We start from the raw sequence: 16,908 nt of genomic DNA, 5'->3' as shown, positions 1-16,908 counted from the left end.
GAGGTATGGGGAATGATGAGAGAAAATTAAAAAAAAATGCTGAAAGCAAATATGAATTACCAACTCTCTAATCTGCAGGTCAGAAAGGGTCATTGCAACCTTTGCAAGCCCCAAATCTGAGAGGTTGGGGCCCACCAACTTATGAAAATAGTATCATTCTCAAAACAAGCTCCAGCTGTGAGCCAGGGGATGGTTAACGGCTGTTTTTGAGGCAGATTTTGTAGATGGACGAGGCAAGAATCATTAGGGCAAAACAGTAAATCAAATTGGAGGGTAAAAGTCAATCCTTTAACAATGGCTGGGCCAGACCTCTAACATCTTCCTGCCCGCCCTTTTACCTCTCTGGCCTCATCTCCTACTCAGCTTCTTCCCCATCCCTGCCCCTACTCCAGTTACAATGGCCCGTTTGATGAGCCTCAAACACATCAGGCATGCTCCTGACTCGGGACCTTCGCGCTGGCTGTTCCCCCTGTTGGAAACGCTCTTCCCCTAGCTATCCTATGGCTTAATATCTTAACTCACCTCATCAATAAGGCCTACCTGCCCATCTTATTTAGAATTGCAACTCCAATTGCACTCCTTTACCCTACTCTTGTTTTTCTTTTTGTAACTGTTACTACCTTCTAACATATTCATTGATTTACCTTTTATTGTGTTTACTGTTAATCTCCCTATTAGGAAGTATGTTCTCCAAAGACAGGGATCTCGGTTTTATTTCCTTCATTATCCCCCATACCAAGTCAGTGCCTGGCATAGAGCACCTGCTGAATTAACTTTGTTTTTTGAATGAACGAAAGCGTCAATGGTGATGCTCAGGGCAGGTTTGGTCAGTGGACAGGCATCCTCTGTGTACCCTCTCCTCTCCGGAAGAAAAGGACTCTTTTTTCCTCTCCTGCAGTTGGATTTAACTAACCTCGCTTCCCGTTCAGCGTTTACTACTCAGGGTTCTGCCCTGTTCTGGATCCCACACATAGGCTCCCAAGAGAGTAAAAGAAGCAGTGAATGCAGAGGAAAACGCCCTGGATTGGAAGCTGGGATTCCTAGGTGCCCTCCTGGCTTAGCAGCAACGCACTTGTTTCCCCAGCTGTCAAGGGTTCCAGGCTCAGTGGGAGGCTGAACAAGGTGCTGACCGAGTTCAGAAGAAAAATGAGGGGAAAATCGTTACCTAAAGGGCAGTGGCTCTCCAGGGATGGTCCTTTGACCAGAGGAATCAGCATCACCACCCTAAACCCACAGAATCAGAAACCGTGGAGGGAGCCAGCAACGTGTTTGAATACAGCCTCTGGGTGATGCTGATGCACTCAAGTTTGAGAACTGCTACTCTGGGGGAAAGAAGGACTTTGTTGGAGCCTTGGAGGCAGGGACGGACTTCATAGGTCAGGCGAGAGGACAGGTCCCCGCGAGGGCGGACTAGCACTGGGTTGGTTCCCTGCATCCAAGGCCGCGCAGGGTGGTCCCAGCCCCAGTCTGACCTGGGAAGTTGGAAAGGCCAGGGCTCCTACGTGCTCACACCTCCACCCCAGGAAAGTCCCGGCGGCGAGGCCGTGACCCTCCGCCGGAACGCCCGCCTCCCTGCAGCCTCAGCCCCGCCCGGGAAAAACCGCTGCGACCCGGGGCAGGTCCGTTCCCGCTGCTCGCAGCCGGCGGTCCCTGGCCCGGCGGTCCCTGGCCTAGCGCCCCCGCGCCGCGCTGGTGGGGAGCGCGGCCCCTCCGCCCCGTGGCAAGTTCCCTTCTCAACTGCCCTGCGCCTCCGCTGGCCCGCGTGAAACCCTCTCTGCTGCCTCGACTGACTGTCGTTTCCGTGTCTTGATTGTGGCCTCTGCCTCTCCCCCTTCCGATTTCGTTCGACTTCTTTCTACAGTTACTAAGCGCCCACTGTGTGCCCTGGAAGGGACTAGACTCAGCAGGTAACGGGAAACGAAGGCACCTGCCGCTCTGAAGTTTCTCCGCATCTCCCTCCATCCTCTGTTCCATCCCCATTCTCAGCATTTGTCCCCTCCCTCCTCTTCTTTTTTTTTTTTTTTTTAATTTAATCTAAAGGAACCTTGCTTCTGGAAGACCTCACAGTAGAATTAAAAAGCCTACTTTTATCTGACTTCTAGAGAGTTGCAATTAAAATGTACATCTTACCTTGACTCATGCCAACAAGTTAAGCTGTTATCAGCTATTAACACCTCAACCAGAATTAGTTTATTAACCTAAAGCAGACAGCTTTATCCTATGGAGGTCGCCTACTTGAGATAAACTATTATTCACATACTTTCACTTTTGTGCCACTCACTCATTCAAAGAAAAATATTCAGTCGTTCAACTATTTATTGAGCACCTAGTATGTGCCAGCATTGTTCATGACTAGCACTGGTCGATGGCAATAATATTAACTACATACGACATTTTAAATTTTCTAGCAGCCACATTAAAGAAAGTGAAAAGACATAGGTAAAAGTAATTTTAATAATTTAACCCAATATGCCCTAAATATTATTTCAATATGTGATCAATATAAAAATTATCAATAAAATATTTTACATTTACTTTTTTTTTAATGCTGTGTCTTTGAAACTTTGTGTGTATGTTACACTTCCAGCACATCTCAGTTCCTGCTAGGAACATTTCAAATGCTTAATAGCCACATTGGCTAGTGGCCACTGTGCTAATCACTGCAATTCTAGACACTTGGAGAACAGCTATGGAAAGACAAAGGTAGAAAGTCAGTAAACTCATGAACAAATAAAATAATCATAAGTAGTGTTCAATGCTAGGAAGAAATTAAAACAAAGTAATGACATAGAATGATGGACATTACCTCATTTAACCTTTTCAATTCCCCCCTCAAGTTGAATAATAGTATATAACAATGTTATAGGCCGGGTGTGGTGGCTCACGCCTGTAATCTCAGCACTTTGGGAGGCCGAGATGGGCGGATCACGAGGTCAGGAGATCAAGACCATCCTGGCTAACACGGTGAAACTCCGTCTCTACTAAAAATACAAAAAATTAGCCAGGCGTGGTGGCGGGCACCTGTAGTCCCAGCTACTCAGGAGGCTGAGGCAGGAGAATGGCGTGAACCCAGGAGGTGGAGCTTGCAGTGAGCCGAGATCCCGCCACTGCACTCCAGCCTGGGCGACACAGCGAGACTCCGTCTCAAAAAAAAAAAAAAAAAGAAAAAAAAAAAACAATGTTATATAACAATTTTATAGCTATGAAAACTGAGGCTGAGACACAAAGAGCAACTTGTCCAAGTGCTTACAACTGGTAAATTCTATGTCCAGGATTCAGATCCCAGCTTGACTGTCTTCCATGCTCATTCCCATTACCCTACAAGGCCAGGTCATAAAGAAGACAGAGGGGAGGGAGGAGGAGTTGAATGGCTTTTGGGGTTTAAACTTTTGAGCACTGAACTAGGAATTTGGTGCTGCTGTGTGTTATTGATTAGGTCTCATGACCTCTCTGGGCCTTCCTCGCAGGTAACATGGAAAGCTTGGCCTTTTTCACTGGACCATTCACAAAGGGAATAAAGAGTTTTGAATAAAATAGTTAAACTTTTTATCCTCAAATGTACCTGCTTTTACACAAGTTTTGTGAAAAGCTCAAAGTATTTTTTTCCTTAGTTCGGGTGGACTAGACTAAAGACAATGGAGACAACATTGCATAGTGCTAGAAGCAGGGGGCTTTGAGTGGTGGTTGGCTGGTCATCCTAGCTATGGGAACTTAACTGTTTTGAGTTTCAATTTTCTTTATTTTAAAGCAGGTATCTACCTCATGGCATATTTGTAGAAGGGAAATGAAATGTTGCATGTAAGCATTTAACATAGCAACTAGCACATAGTAATCACACAATAAATATTGGCCATTATATTAACAGCCCCCATGGGTATTATACATTTGGCATTAGAAAGACTTGAATTTGAGTCTTAAATCTATCACCTACAGGCTGTGTGACTTAAACAAATCAATTAGTATATCTAGTTCATCTGAAAAATGGGAACAAGAACATTATTTGTACAATCTGCCACAGTGTCTCCATAAATGTCAACTAAGATTCTGTATGTAAATGTGCTTTGCAAGCTGTGAAGTGCTGCACTCATGTTGATTAATCTTGGTGGTTACTTTTCTGTCAAGGCTTCATATCCAGTCCTTTGCAGATCTGAGCTGCCTCATCATTGCCTTTGTAGCAGAAAACTGAGAACTCAATCTTATTTTTCTTTGTACTAGCAGCACTCATCAAAATGTTTTGTGTGCCAGTGTGTCCAGATTATTAAAGTTAGGAGTCAGAGGATCTAGTTTGGCCTCTGCTACACACTGGAGGTGTAATCTTAGACCAGTCATTTAACTTCTCCAAGCTGTTTTCTTAGTCCCAAAATAGGAATAGTCTTAATATTTGACTTTCCTACTTGTTGGGGTTATTCAGGATGATAAAAGAGATAAAAAGCCTGTTGAACACCATATATTTCTATAAAGGCTGAGGGGAACATTCCTAAGCATTATTCCCAGTAGGCAGCATGTCTTTCCTCCTGGCAGCTCTTAGCCTTGCAAAACAGCCTGATAGAACTACTAATGGTTTCCTGCCTAGGTCCCTGCTGTTTCATGCCTCGGTGCTTGTGCACTTTGCACAGGCTGGTTGCTCTGCTTGGAATGCCCTTCTCCTCATTTCCTCATCTTTAAACCTCACTCCTTATTTACGGGATGCCTAAGAAACTCATTTTCCAAAATCCAGCTTCAAAGAGTCTTCTCCCTAAAACCCATTTAGACCCATTCAACCAAAGTCAATTACCACCTCCGCTCTGTGTCCCACAGTAACCAGTAAAGACTGCCATCATATCTCTCATCACCCTGCAGTACAACTATTGTTTAATTATTCATTTAACGGCAGCAGAATAGCACAGCAAAGAAGCACATAGGCCCTAGAAACTGGGTTCAAATCCTGGCTCTGATACTTAACTAGTTGTGTTGGGGAAGTGACTTACTATCTCTGTGCCTCAGTGTCCTTAACTGTTAAGCAATGATGATAATGATACCTCCTTCATACAATTGTTGCTTGGAAGAGACACATTAAACCCTTAGAATAGTGTCTGATGCATAGCGGATGCTCCGTAAATCTCAACTTTTATTAATGTTTCTGTCTTTCTTATTTGACACCAAGGACTTATCCTCGGTGCCTAAAACAACCCCTGACACACAGGAAGAACTCAACAAATGATCGTTGAACTTATGACTCAGAGAATCCCACATGCCATGAATTCCTGTGTCTCTATTCAGTCCTCTCCCTTACCCCCTGGATCCTGTCCACTCTCCACTTTTCCTTAGAAACAGGTCTTGCAGCTTCTGCTTTCCATTCAGCATCAGCACTGCTTTCTTGGCTAGGAGTTCCCCTATCTCCTGCCCTGTTTCCTATTTGGCTTTCTGACTCAGATTCTTCCTGTTCCACCCAGCTAAGAGCCCTGCTTCAGACCCAACCTGCTAAGACATTGTTTTCTCCACTCATTCTCTGCTTTGAACCCTCCAGATCCCATACTTTCTACTGATTATATCAGACGTCTTCTGCCAGGAGTGTTAAGATCCCCCGTGACCACTAATTTATCTTCTCACTGCTTGCCTGGGCCTTTCTCTGAGCTTGGCAACCCCTTCACCATCTTATCCACCTACGTTATCCATCCACCCATCCATTCCGCCACCCAAATTACCCACCTATCTACTACCATCCCTTCAACTACCTACTCACCCATCCACCTCCCCACCCACCTTTCCATTCATCCATCCATTTGTCCACCCAGGCATTAAATTAACATTCACCGTGTATTTATCACCCTCCAGTCACCATATAGAACACAGACTTGGACAAGAAGAAAAGCTGGTCTCCAACTCCTTGTAATTTTTAATCTACAAACGGAAATCAGATAACTGAAGAACTGTACTTTGTGGCAGAAGATATTTTGTGTCATATGGGTGCTATCACAGGCTTCTAAATTAAGCTTCAGGGAATCTGAACTTCTTAAAATCATAAGCAAAATTGTGTGGGTGAGAGGGTGTGTGTGGTGCCTCTTTATATATATATGGGCGTTTCTCAAAGGAGAGGCTCCACGGCTCTGTGATATTGTCAAAGGGGTTTTCCAGGAAATACCAGGGGCCGGGTAAGGAAAAACCCAGGGAAGAAATAGCTTTAGTTTAGGGCTTTAAAGGGAGGAAAATGGAAACTAACATTTATTTCAGACCCACTATGTGCCAGGTAAAACTTCTAGTGTGGCAACCCTAGATATGTCCTTGTTTGGAATATGGGAATGGGTGGGAAACAAGTTGGAGGAAGCTAGCCTTTATTGAGTACTGGGCCAGGCAGCATCATTTTATTTAATGCTTACAGTAACGTTTCAAAATAGGTACAGTCATGTGCCACATACTGTTTTGGTTAGTGGCTGACTGCATATATGATGGTGGCCCCACATGATTATAATACCATATTTTTATGATTATAAGATTATAATACGTTTTCTATTAATTTATAGATGCATGAATATTATTGTATTATAATTCCCTATAATATTCAGCAACGTAACATGCTGTATAGATTTGTAGCCTAGGTGTGTAGTAGGCTACACCATCTAGGTTTGTGTAAGTACACACGATGATGCTTCCACAACGACAAAGTCACCTTAAGGACACATTTCTCAGAATGAATCCTCGTTGTTAACTGTCACATGGCTGTATATTATATGTATCTTACGGAGGAAGACACTCAAAGAGGTAAAGCAAGGCCCACACCCCACAGCCTCGAGGCGTAGAATAAAAAAGATTTGAACTGAAGTCACTTGGGCTCTAGGGCCCATGATCTCTGCATCCCTCCCAGGGCTTCCTGTGGATCAAGCATGTCACTGTGTAAGTGCTTTACACTGTAAAACACCACTCAGTGTAAGAGAAGATGCTGTTGTCTGTGCTTTGAGAACATTAAAAGGGTTTTACAAGCCTAAGGAATTGCTGTCATTAAATTTTCAACAACCTCCAAAAAGAATGACCTTTTCCTGGAGATTCAGCCTATGTAAAAGGTCAGCGAATCTTGGTTCTCACCCAGAGAGTGTTATCACAGCAGTTTCCAGGAACAAGGCTGGGTACAGGGCAGTCACTCAGCAAGCACTTGTGGCTGGGTCTGTTGGCAGAAAGGAGCCCTCAGCCTCATGCCAGCCTCTGTGCCCCCCGACCCCTGCTGGGGTTTCTGCCTGGGGAGGGCAGGAGAGTGCTTCATCATAGCCAGCAGAGGAAGTGTCACCTCAAAACCACCCCTTTGCCTGGAGCCATGGGCCTGGCCAGCAGAATACACACTTCTATGTCCGGAAATTTCTGGAACTTTGAGAAAGCTTGTGTCCCATTCAGCTGCCCACCCAGAGTATTCCCCCTGCTGCCTAATATTCACCCACTCCTTGTGTGCATGAAGGAATTCAAAATCCCTGGACTTCTTGCAAGGGGAAAATTGAACTAAGTGACCTCTAAGTGTCCTTCTAGTCACAGAAAACTGGGATGAATTAAGAGAGAAAAGATTTTTTTCAACTAAAATTTTTTTCTCCTTCAAAGCAAGGACCATATAATTTGTTGATTTGGCCTCATCACACCCTTTACCCTCATGCTCCTGTCCATCTCCACAGCCGCCACCCTCCTCCAGAACACCACTATTATTGCCCCAAATCACTGCTTCAGCCTCCTAACAGCTCTCCCTGCATGTATCTTGTTATGTCCCAGCTGTTCTCAGAAGCCAGATTGGTATTTCTAAATGGATCTCCTATCTCGGGCCTGCTTATAATTCTTCCATTGCCGTCCTTGATGGATTTCAAGACCTGAAGATTTTTCCGACTGTTTGGCTCTCCTTTCACCTCTTCACACATTGTGCCCTTGTACCCTGTGCTCTGGCCACCTCATCCTCACCCACCCACCTTCCCTGGCTCTTTCCATGTGCTGTTGTCCCTGTTGCCTGCATCTCCAAACCCCTCCCTGCCGTAACTCTTTTTCAGCCTGCAGGGCTCAGTCACTAACACAGAGATGCTTCCCTTGAGCCCTCCCCGCTTTGTTTCTTTTTTTTGAGAGGGAGTCTCCCTCTGTTGCCCAGGCTAAAGTGCAGTGGCATGATCTCGGCTCACTGCAACCTCCGCCTCCCAGGTTCAAGCAATTCTTCTTCCTCAGCTTCCCAAGTAGCTGGGATTAAGGCACGCACCACCACACCCAGCTAATTTTTGTATTTTCAGTAAAGACAGGGTTTCACCCTGTTGGCCAGGCTGGTCTTGAACTCATGACCTCAAGTGATCTGCCTGCCTTGGCTTCCAGAGTGCTGGGATTACAGACTACAGGTGTGAGCCACCATGCTGGGCAAACCCCTAACAGAGGAAGAGGTGCCTTCCTCTGTTGTTACTGCACGCACAGTCCTCTTCACCCCATATTGTAATTTTCTGGTAAGTTTTCTGTCTCTGCCACCGGCTGTAAGCTCTGGGCAGGCTGCTTCTCTGTTTGCTGGTTTGTCATATTCTCAGGGTCTTGCCCACAAGGCCTAAGACCCTCACCTTTAAGAGGTACTCCATGAACACGTTTGCACTCCACAGAACAGGGATCTACTCAGAGCGCTGGTGAGGTTAGATTTCTTTGCCCCAGAGCTTGGAAGGCCTCACTGCAGAGGGCCCCAAATGTGGAAACCATTAGTGCCTCCTCCCTCTGCTCTTAGTGAATTTGCTGGGAAGGCAGGGGGCCATGGGAGGCACCTGAATCATATTATAGAGCTTGGAACCAAAGGAAGGCATAACTGAGTGGCCTTCCCTACCCCCAGCCCCTGTTTTTAGCCAGATGACCAGCACCCTGCCCCCTCAGGCACCCTGCCCACCTCTCTGCCAACATGTTCTGGCTGTGACAGCACCACCACCACTGCATAGGCAGGGGCAGTCACATTCAGAGTGGGTGAGGCAGAGAGTCACTTCAACCCTGACATTCTATCTGTCCCTTGTGACTCAGGTTGCCACTTACCCCTGGGGCTTCAGGACACAAGCAGGGATCACCCTTTCAGTAGATATCAGTGATATGGGGAAAAGGCCAGACAGTGGGCTGGGCTGCTGAGTCACTGAGAGTGAGTTTCCCTGCCTTCCGCTCTACCTGAGTTTGCCTGTCTATCTCAAGGGGCGTCTCTTCCCCTCTCTGAGGCCAGTGTGATTCCTGGAATGGATTTAATTCACAGCATGCAGTGGGGATATCCCTTGTCTACCTTTTTCTTTTCTCTCTCTCTTTTTTTTTTTTTTTTTTGAGGCAGAGTCTCGCTCTGTCGCCCAGGCTGGAGTGCAGTGGCATGATCTCGGCTCACTGCAACCTCCGCCTCCCTGGTTCAAGTGGTTCTCCTGCCTCAGCCTCCCGAGTAGCTGAGACTGTAGGTGCACACCACCACACCTGGCTAGTTTTTGTATTTTTAGTAGAGATGGGGTTTCACCATGTTGGCCAGGCTGATCTTGAATTCCGGACCTCAAGTGATCCACCTGCTTTGTCCTCTCAAAGTGCTGGGATTACAGGTGTGAGCCACCACGCCCAGCCCCTTGTCTACGTTTTTAAAGGAAGATGATCTAACATGGTTGGGAAGAAAGCAGGCTTTGGAGTCAGACATGCTGAGCTGAATCTCAATTCTGTAGTCTACTAGCTATGGCACCCAAAGCAAGTTGCTTAACCTCCCTGACCCTCAATCCCTCCTCTATAATGGGAGGATAATGCTACCTAACTCGTAGGATTATTGTGATAGTAAATGCAGTAAAGTATGTGAAAGGCTTAGCTGAGTCCTTGGCAAATGGTGAACAGTTCCTAAATGGTACGTGTTATTATTTATACAAGCTGACGTCTTCGTAAATGCTTGATCTCTGGGGAACACCATGTCTCTCCATAGACCCCAGGCTCTGGCCTCCAACTCTGCACATCCACAGTCATATGTTTGTGGCTTTGGAAAATTTAGTTGAAATGTGGTGAGACAGGAAGAAAAGAAAAGGAAGTAAAAGGGTAGTGACTTTTTTTCTTAACTGTCTCAGATGCACAAACTGCTTCCTCAACTCAAATAACTCCTGGCTATGTTTGTCTGAGCAGAAGCCAGATGCACAAGAGAACACGGGGGCTGTATAGATAGTCCGGAGAGCAGGGTTTTACTATGTCAGGCTTTCTGTCTCAGACAACTAGAGAAAGCAGAGTCTGGTAACTGAGACTTTGAAATACATGCACTCCTTTACTGTCCGCTGAATTGAGACAGGTTCTGCGCTTTGGCTCTTGGTTCAATCTCTTTTCTCCTCTTCGTCCAATGCTTCTACTCCTCCAAATAGAGGAAAAACATCAGTGTACTCTCTGGATCAACATGGAGAAGACCTAATTTGCTCAGTGTCATTTGGCAAGATGTTTAACCTCCCTTGTAACCTAGCTATCTTTAGCTTCCATGATGCTATTTTGAAATGTCAAACTAGCAAATACTGCTTCCAGAATGGTTCTGATCTGGGATGTGACAGGATGCGTGGGGGTTGGGGGAGCCAAGGAGGGGGTGGGGAGAGCCAAGGAGGAGGTGGGGATGGTGAAGGAGCCTGCTGGTAGAGGGTGAAATAATGTACCAACTTTGCAACCACCAGGATTCTCTCCCTTCTATGGCCTCTGCCACCTCCTCCAGGGGACTGACCCATTTAAGGGAGACATAGGGCACTGAGTCTCACCTGGGTCTAACCTAGAGGGATGTGGGCCCAGGAGTCTGCGTTTTGAGCAAGCACTCAGGCATTCTGATGTAGATAGTCCAGGGTGTACGAGAAACCTTAGCCTGCAGTAACAACTATTTCCTAAGTAAGCATTATCCCAATGCTGAAAGCCTGGGATATAGAAATACCACCACACACCTTGAAGAGCTCATGGTTCACAGTCTCCAGAAAGTGACAAAGAATGCCATTTTAGGGTACAAAGTACTTTGAAAGCAGACATACAAAGTGCTTATAGGGCTGCAGGGAGGAGGTATCTTGCTCCGGGAGAGCTAGGGATGCTTTTTTTTAAAGAAGGGATATTTGAGTTAGGTCTTGAAATATAAGAAGTGTTTCTCAGATAGAAAAAGAGTAGGTGCAGATTGTACTTTCCGAAGATGGACTCACCAAGATATATCTCCCATCCCACATGCTCTTACAATGGGACTGGCATGCTTCCCACAGAGAAGTGGGGGGGTCTGTGTTCCCTTCTGAATCTGGGTGGGGGCGTGTGACTTCTTCCACCCAGACAGTGCAGCAGAAATGATGCATGAGACTTCTGAGGCTGGGTCACCAAAAGGCCATAAGGCCTCTGCTTGGCTCTTTCTCTCTCAGGATATACCCCTCTGGAACCCTGAGCCAACATGTGAGGAGTCCAGCAACCCTGTAGCTGCCACATGGAGAAATCATAGCAATAGATGGAGATGGTGGATAATTCCAGCCCCCAGCCCTTGAGCCACCGCAGCTGACACTGAGTGTCAGCTGTTCCCTCTCAGCCTGCCTGAACCACGGATTTTTGAACAAAATACATGGCTTTTTTTGTTTGTTTGTTTTAAACCACTACATTTTGGGGTGCCTTGTTACACGGCAGTAGATACCTAGAACAGGCTAGAAGAGCAGTTTAGGAAGAGGAAATGACAGCAGGTGCAAACGTATTGAGTGGTGAAAGGGGCGTAGAAACTATTTTTGAAATTTGGAGAGAATCAATATCCTCACACAGAATTTAGAAGTCTTGCTTCACTGCAGACTGACACATGCAATCAAGCTGCCTGTGTGTTTGCCCAAGAGGTGCAGGCTAAGCTCTTTCCCTAGGCCACGTGACCCACCAATTTGGTGCTGCCTCAGATTGGCATACATGATTTTAACTGTCGTGCCTTTGCTGAGATGTAATTTTAAGAATGTGGGCAGCACCTTCTCAATCCCTAGGAAAAGATTCATTAGATGTTGAAACCAGTGAGTCAGGCATCATCTGGTCTTCCTGCCTAAGGTCTTATGGTGCCAAGCACCATGCCTGGCACGCAGAGGGTCATACAATGGTGACTGAGCCTGCATGTGAATAGTGGTATCAGCCCTAGAGCCTATGTCTCTGATTTGTGGGCTCAGAGTCTTGGGAATGGGAGGATTCTTTACAGAATCCCAACCATTCTGCCAATATCAAGGATTCAGTTCTGCTCACATACCTCTTCTAGCCACCTATTCTCACTTATTATGAAGTTCTTTCTTCAAATGGGTCTATATCTTTTCCTCAAAATTCCCACCCATTAAGCCTTATTCTGTCTTTGAGGAATAGGAATTTGCTCCCTTTTCCTTATGACTACTGTGAGGGCTTTGGGAAATAGAGGAAAAGCATCAATGTTTTGGAACATAGAGGAAAAACATCAGCTTGGCTAGGCCAAGCCACCCACCCCAGAATTCCCTCTCTTGTCTGTTTCTTGTTAGGGTGGGCCATAAGAGATAGTCTTCCATGAGAGTTGCAGGTTGGATGGGAGGCAGAGACCACTTTATAGCATATGCACACCATCCCCCAGGGATTCAATCACACACTAATCTAGGTGCTGCAGTGAAGGGGATTTGCAGATGTAATTAAAGTTCCTATTCAGTTGATTTTGAGTGTGTCAAGTGCAGCTGGACTTGCAATTGTTCTCTCTTCCCTGTGCGTCTTCCCTTCCTGATTGTTTTCCCTGTGGCTTAGTCAGCTTCCCAAATTGCATAGGATAATTAATAATACTTGAAACAATAATAATGATAAGTTATTTAATTTTATTTAATTATCTATGCATTTATCTATCATTCATCCTTTCATTCATCTATCAGCCAATCAATCAGTCAATCAACCAACCATCTCTCCTATGATTCTGCTTTGCTGGTTAAGCCCTGACTGATACAACCGTCTTTCGGAAGACCTCAATGCCCCAGTCTTCCATCGCTAGTTGTGTGGCCCGACTTCCACCAATGTGCCTTATGCAATGTGGTTTTGAGTCCCATTACCATGCTGGCCTCTTTCCAGACATGCTACGTTTTTATGCCTGTCCCTCTTACAGTTTATCCATTCAGGAAGCATTTATTGCATTACTGCTGAACGCTGAGGATCATCTGGGGGATACAACAAGAAACAAGACTCACCAGTTCCTGTATTCATGGAGTTTGGGTCCCTAATTCTGAGACCTTATTTTCTGTAGGGTATACTAGTCTTACTAGCATTGGAGGAGGAAGTTTGTTTGACCATCAGTACCATAAGTACCACTCAGTGCTAAGGATAATGTCAGCATCATTATTTGATGACAAGGCTGGACAATAGTTCTATTAACTTCCAGGCATTTAAAAACTAGTCATTCCATATAACCTTCCTAGCAATCATATGATATAGACATGATCCTTCCCAACTCTCAAATGACCCAGAAGACTACATGGCTTTGTAAGTGTGGAGTCAAGCAGTGACCCCAAGTGTATAAGACTCCAAATACCATGCTTGTGGTTGAATGACAAAATGTGGCCTTTTCCTCCAAGGGTCTCCTTGAAGACAGCCAGCTGTCATCCATCTGGGACCCAAGTTTTTTTTTCCAGGTTCTCTTGTTCCTGCGGCTCTAATTCCCTGACAATCTTACTTTAGTCTCTAGTCCACCCTACAGGGAAGACCCTTGTGCTCTTCAAAGGCTCAACAAGGCAACTTGCTCAGACAGGAATAAATTATAAGTGATACTGAGAACAATCCTTTCTGTAGTTACCAATTTGGGCCTTTGACATATGATGAAATATGAAACATGGGCCACTGTTCTGCTAGGCCTATGGGATTTTAAGAAGAGCCATGTAGCAGAGGACAGGAACTAGCAATTGTGAGCACCCACTATGAGCCAGGGTCTGTGTCAATCATAATGATAAAGATAATTATTATTATTAATTGTGTACTTTTGTGCCAGATATTATTTTAAACTTTTTACATATATTAACTAATTTAATCTTTTTAACAACTACATGAATTAATTACTCTTATTATCCCCTTATTACTGATGAGAAAAAAGAGAGACTTAGACACTTCCTTACATGATATAGTTAGTAAATAATTGGGATTTACTAACAAAGTTGGAATTTGAACTCATGCTGTCTGGTTCTAGAGCCTGTGCTCTTGTAGAAATCATGGTGGCCCATTAAAATCATTTATCTAATTGAATCCTAAGAGCCCATGTATGTGAAATGCCATCTCAGCTCTGCTAGATCCTCCCACAGCAAATGCTTTATTGTGGTAACATGTCAGTCCCTGCCTTTACTCAATAAGCTTCTGGTGGGTGAGGGTAGGGGTGCACAGGTACTGTGTCTGTCTAGTTCACTGTTGTGTGTCCAGGGTTTAGCACGGCTCCTGGCACAACAGCATAGCAGGCCATCAAGACACAGAAAAGAGTACACATATTGTACAAATGAGGAAACTGAAACAAACAATGTGAGGTCAAAAAGGTAATGAGTGACAGAACTGAAGTTGAAGTCCAGATTTCCATGAGACTGAATTCCATCAAAAGCTGTCTTTTGATCACATTTTCTTTCCTCCTGCATATTGAGCTCACAGAGCAGGCCCTGTTACATAGTAGGTGCTCAATAAAATGTGCTATTAAATGAACAAAGTGCCCTGTTCTTCAATTCTTCCAATATCCCATTCCTCCACTCTTTATCTTAGAATTTTCTTTTCCATGATGCCAACACACAGTCTAAGACATGTTTTCCATGCTCACCCTTAACCCTGACCCTGTTATCTCTAGCTACTCTTTAATAATCTGACATTTTTATATCATGTTCTGCATGTGTCCCCAGCCCCTTTTGGAAATGCCTGCTGTTTGAGTTTGCGCCATCCTTCAAGATAATGAGGCCCACCTACATTTTCCCCCTTCAGAACCTCTCAGTATAGTTTTGGTTTGATTTCTTGGAATCCATGTGCTATAGATGGGGGAGATTTTTTCCAACCTACTAAGGAATCAAAGAGAGAGAGTTTCTTGGGTTTTTAGGAGTTGGGGAGCTTTAGCCAAGAGAAATATGGTAACTTCTTGGAATAAGTGGAGCCATGTCATACCCAAAGATTACAATGGGAGAACCTCAGGTAAATGATAAAGTCACAGTAGAGAAATTAAAATTCTTGTGGGTCAGAGGTAGTTTGAATTGCTGGAATGAGCACCAACCCAAAGAGGCAATGCCTGCTAATAAAATGAGCTGTAAACCCATGTTCTCGGTCCTTCCTTCCCTCTTCCCTTCCTCCCTTTCTCCCTTCTTTACTTCCTTCCAGGAAAAACATCCAGGCAAGTGGACAGCATTTGCAACAGCCCAGCAATAAGAAGGACCATATTCTACTTGGGAAAAGGTAAAGTCGTTTCATATGGACGGAGGTGAGTTCAAGGGGGAAAAGAAATGGAACTTGCCAAGTAAGTGGAGGCTGGCTCTTAAAGTTTGTTCTTCAGGCAATGGGGAGCCATTGATAAGATGTTAGTTAGAGAGTGCTTATGTTAATTCTCAATTTATTATTAAAATACTTTGAATATTTTAGGAACATATTTCGAGCTCTACACATACTTCTTGTATTTTGGTGGTCTTGAAGTCACAGGGCAGAGCTAGGAGTTAATTTCAGTTCCAACTCATGGTATGACTTAGCAAGTAAAGTCTTATTTTAGGTCCTTAGTTTTCTCATCTCTAAATGAAGAAAAAGAAAAGCAAGGGATTGGCAAGCTTAACATGCTCAATAGTTTTTCTTTGCTGAACTATTCCCGGAGGGTCAACCAGCCTTCAATAGGTGTGATTAATAAGTTACAAAAGATAAATAGAGTGTCTTCAAAGATTTTATGTTCCTTATTTAAATTTTACCTGTCTTTACAGCCTGCCAGGAAACCTGTCATTCAACCCTTTGCAATAAAACAGCTCCTCATGAATGAAGCAAAATAAATCAGAAGTTGTGGGCTTTTAAACTCACTAAATGAAAGCACAGCATGCATGCAGCCTCCCTCCAAATTAATCACCAGATTAAATGCAAGATGTGCACACCAAATCAATAGCTTGTGACGGGGACCTCCTGCCTGTGCTTCAGGAAAATTCCATTTCCTTTCAGATGTTGTCGCTTGAAATGTCAGGAAGTTTCCATTCATCACCCGCCCTTGAAAATGCCACCATCACCATACTTCATGTTTCCTTGCTTTCTTTCTTCAGAGGAATCCAAGCACCTTGCAGAGGGAGCCCACTCCTTGTCACAGACTCTCCTGGAGGCTGAAACAGGGGCAGTCTGCACAGAGGAGAGGTGTAGAGAGGCGCGATTTAGAAATAAGAAAACCAAATCGTAAAGAAGCCTAATGTCTTGTTGCAACATCTGAAAGAAACAAGATGAATATATTCCACTAGGTGGGAAGCTTAGGGTAGTGGGAAGAACATGGATTCAGGACTTTGAGAAACATGGATTTAAATTTTGATCCCCAATGCCTCTCTGCACTTCACTGTTATCTATAAAATAGAGGAAATAAAAATACTATACATTCAAGTCTTAACACCAACAGTTAACTAGTTGTGTAACCTTGGACAAGTTATGTGACCTCTCTGTCTGAGCATTGTCATTTGTATATGAGATCATGGAGGTTAAATGTCCAACCTGTTGTCACTGTGCACCTCAAAATAATAAATAAAACATTTCATCTCTCAATCAAGGCTAAATCCACTTTCTCTGCTCTTCAAAACTTGACCCTGCCAGCACCTTCTCCAGTAACCTCTAGATTGAGTGAGATCCCTTTTTGTAGTATAATAATAATAATAATAATACTTAAGAAAAACAGTGATAATAACACTAAAAACTAACACATTGATCACTTACTACACAACATGCTCTGGGTACTTTATTTGGATAATTCATTTAGTACTCGTAATAACCTTATCAGTTGTGTTATTATGTTCTATGTATTACAAA

General features: G+C 44.3%; 1 long non-coding RNA gene across 1 annotated transcript, besides 4 other annotated features; it reads left to right on the top strand.

Annotated features, from left to right (window-relative positions):
* Window positions 1,618–1,767: a silencer, noted in NCBI's record as "silent region_939". NCBI's record gives its function as "represses an Ori minimal core promoter by ATAC-STARR-seq in GM12878 lymphoblastoid cells {active_cell/tissue: GM12878}" and the evidence as "EXISTENCE:reporter gene assay evidence [ECO:0000049][PMID:35858748]".
* HSD52 (uncharacterized LOC729467) lies at window positions 1,776–16,647 on the top strand. The gene is made up of 3 exons (NR_027120.1): window positions 1,776–1,907; window positions 15,253–15,352; window positions 15,837–16,647. It is a non-coding gene; the product is annotated as an uncharacterized LOC729467 (long non-coding RNA).
* Window positions 1,888–1,947: an enhancer, noted in NCBI's record as "active region_1107". NCBI's record gives its function as "activates an Ori minimal core promoter by ATAC-STARR-seq in GM12878 lymphoblastoid cells {active_cell/tissue: GM12878}" and the evidence as "EXISTENCE:reporter gene assay evidence [ECO:0000049][PMID:35858748]".
* Window positions 8,305–8,804: an enhancer, noted in NCBI's record as "H3K27ac hESC enhancer chr1:59605451-59605950 (GRCh37/hg19 assembly coordinates)". NCBI's record gives its function as "activates a minimal SCP1, AML or CMV promoter by ChIP-STARR-seq in primed H9 embryonic stem cells {active_cell/tissue: H9 hESC(primed)}" and the evidence as "EXISTENCE:reporter gene assay evidence [ECO:0000049][PMID:30033119]".
* Window positions 8,805–9,306: an enhancer, noted in NCBI's record as "H3K27ac hESC enhancer chr1:59604949-59605450 (GRCh37/hg19 assembly coordinates)". NCBI's record gives its function as "activates a minimal SCP1, AML or CMV promoter by ChIP-STARR-seq in primed H9 embryonic stem cells {active_cell/tissue: H9 hESC(primed)}" and the evidence as "EXISTENCE:reporter gene assay evidence [ECO:0000049][PMID:30033119]".
* Window positions 16,648–16,908: the final 261 nt, after the last annotated feature.

This window comes from Homo sapiens, chromosome 1 (assembly GCF_000001405.40).
Source record: "Homo sapiens chromosome 1, GRCh38.p14 Primary Assembly".
Lineage (NCBI taxonomy): Eukaryota > Metazoa > Chordata > Mammalia > Primates > Hominidae > Homo > Homo sapiens.
The sequence above is the reverse complement of the archived record's forward strand: the minus strand, read 5'-3'. Positions and strand labels throughout refer to the sequence as shown.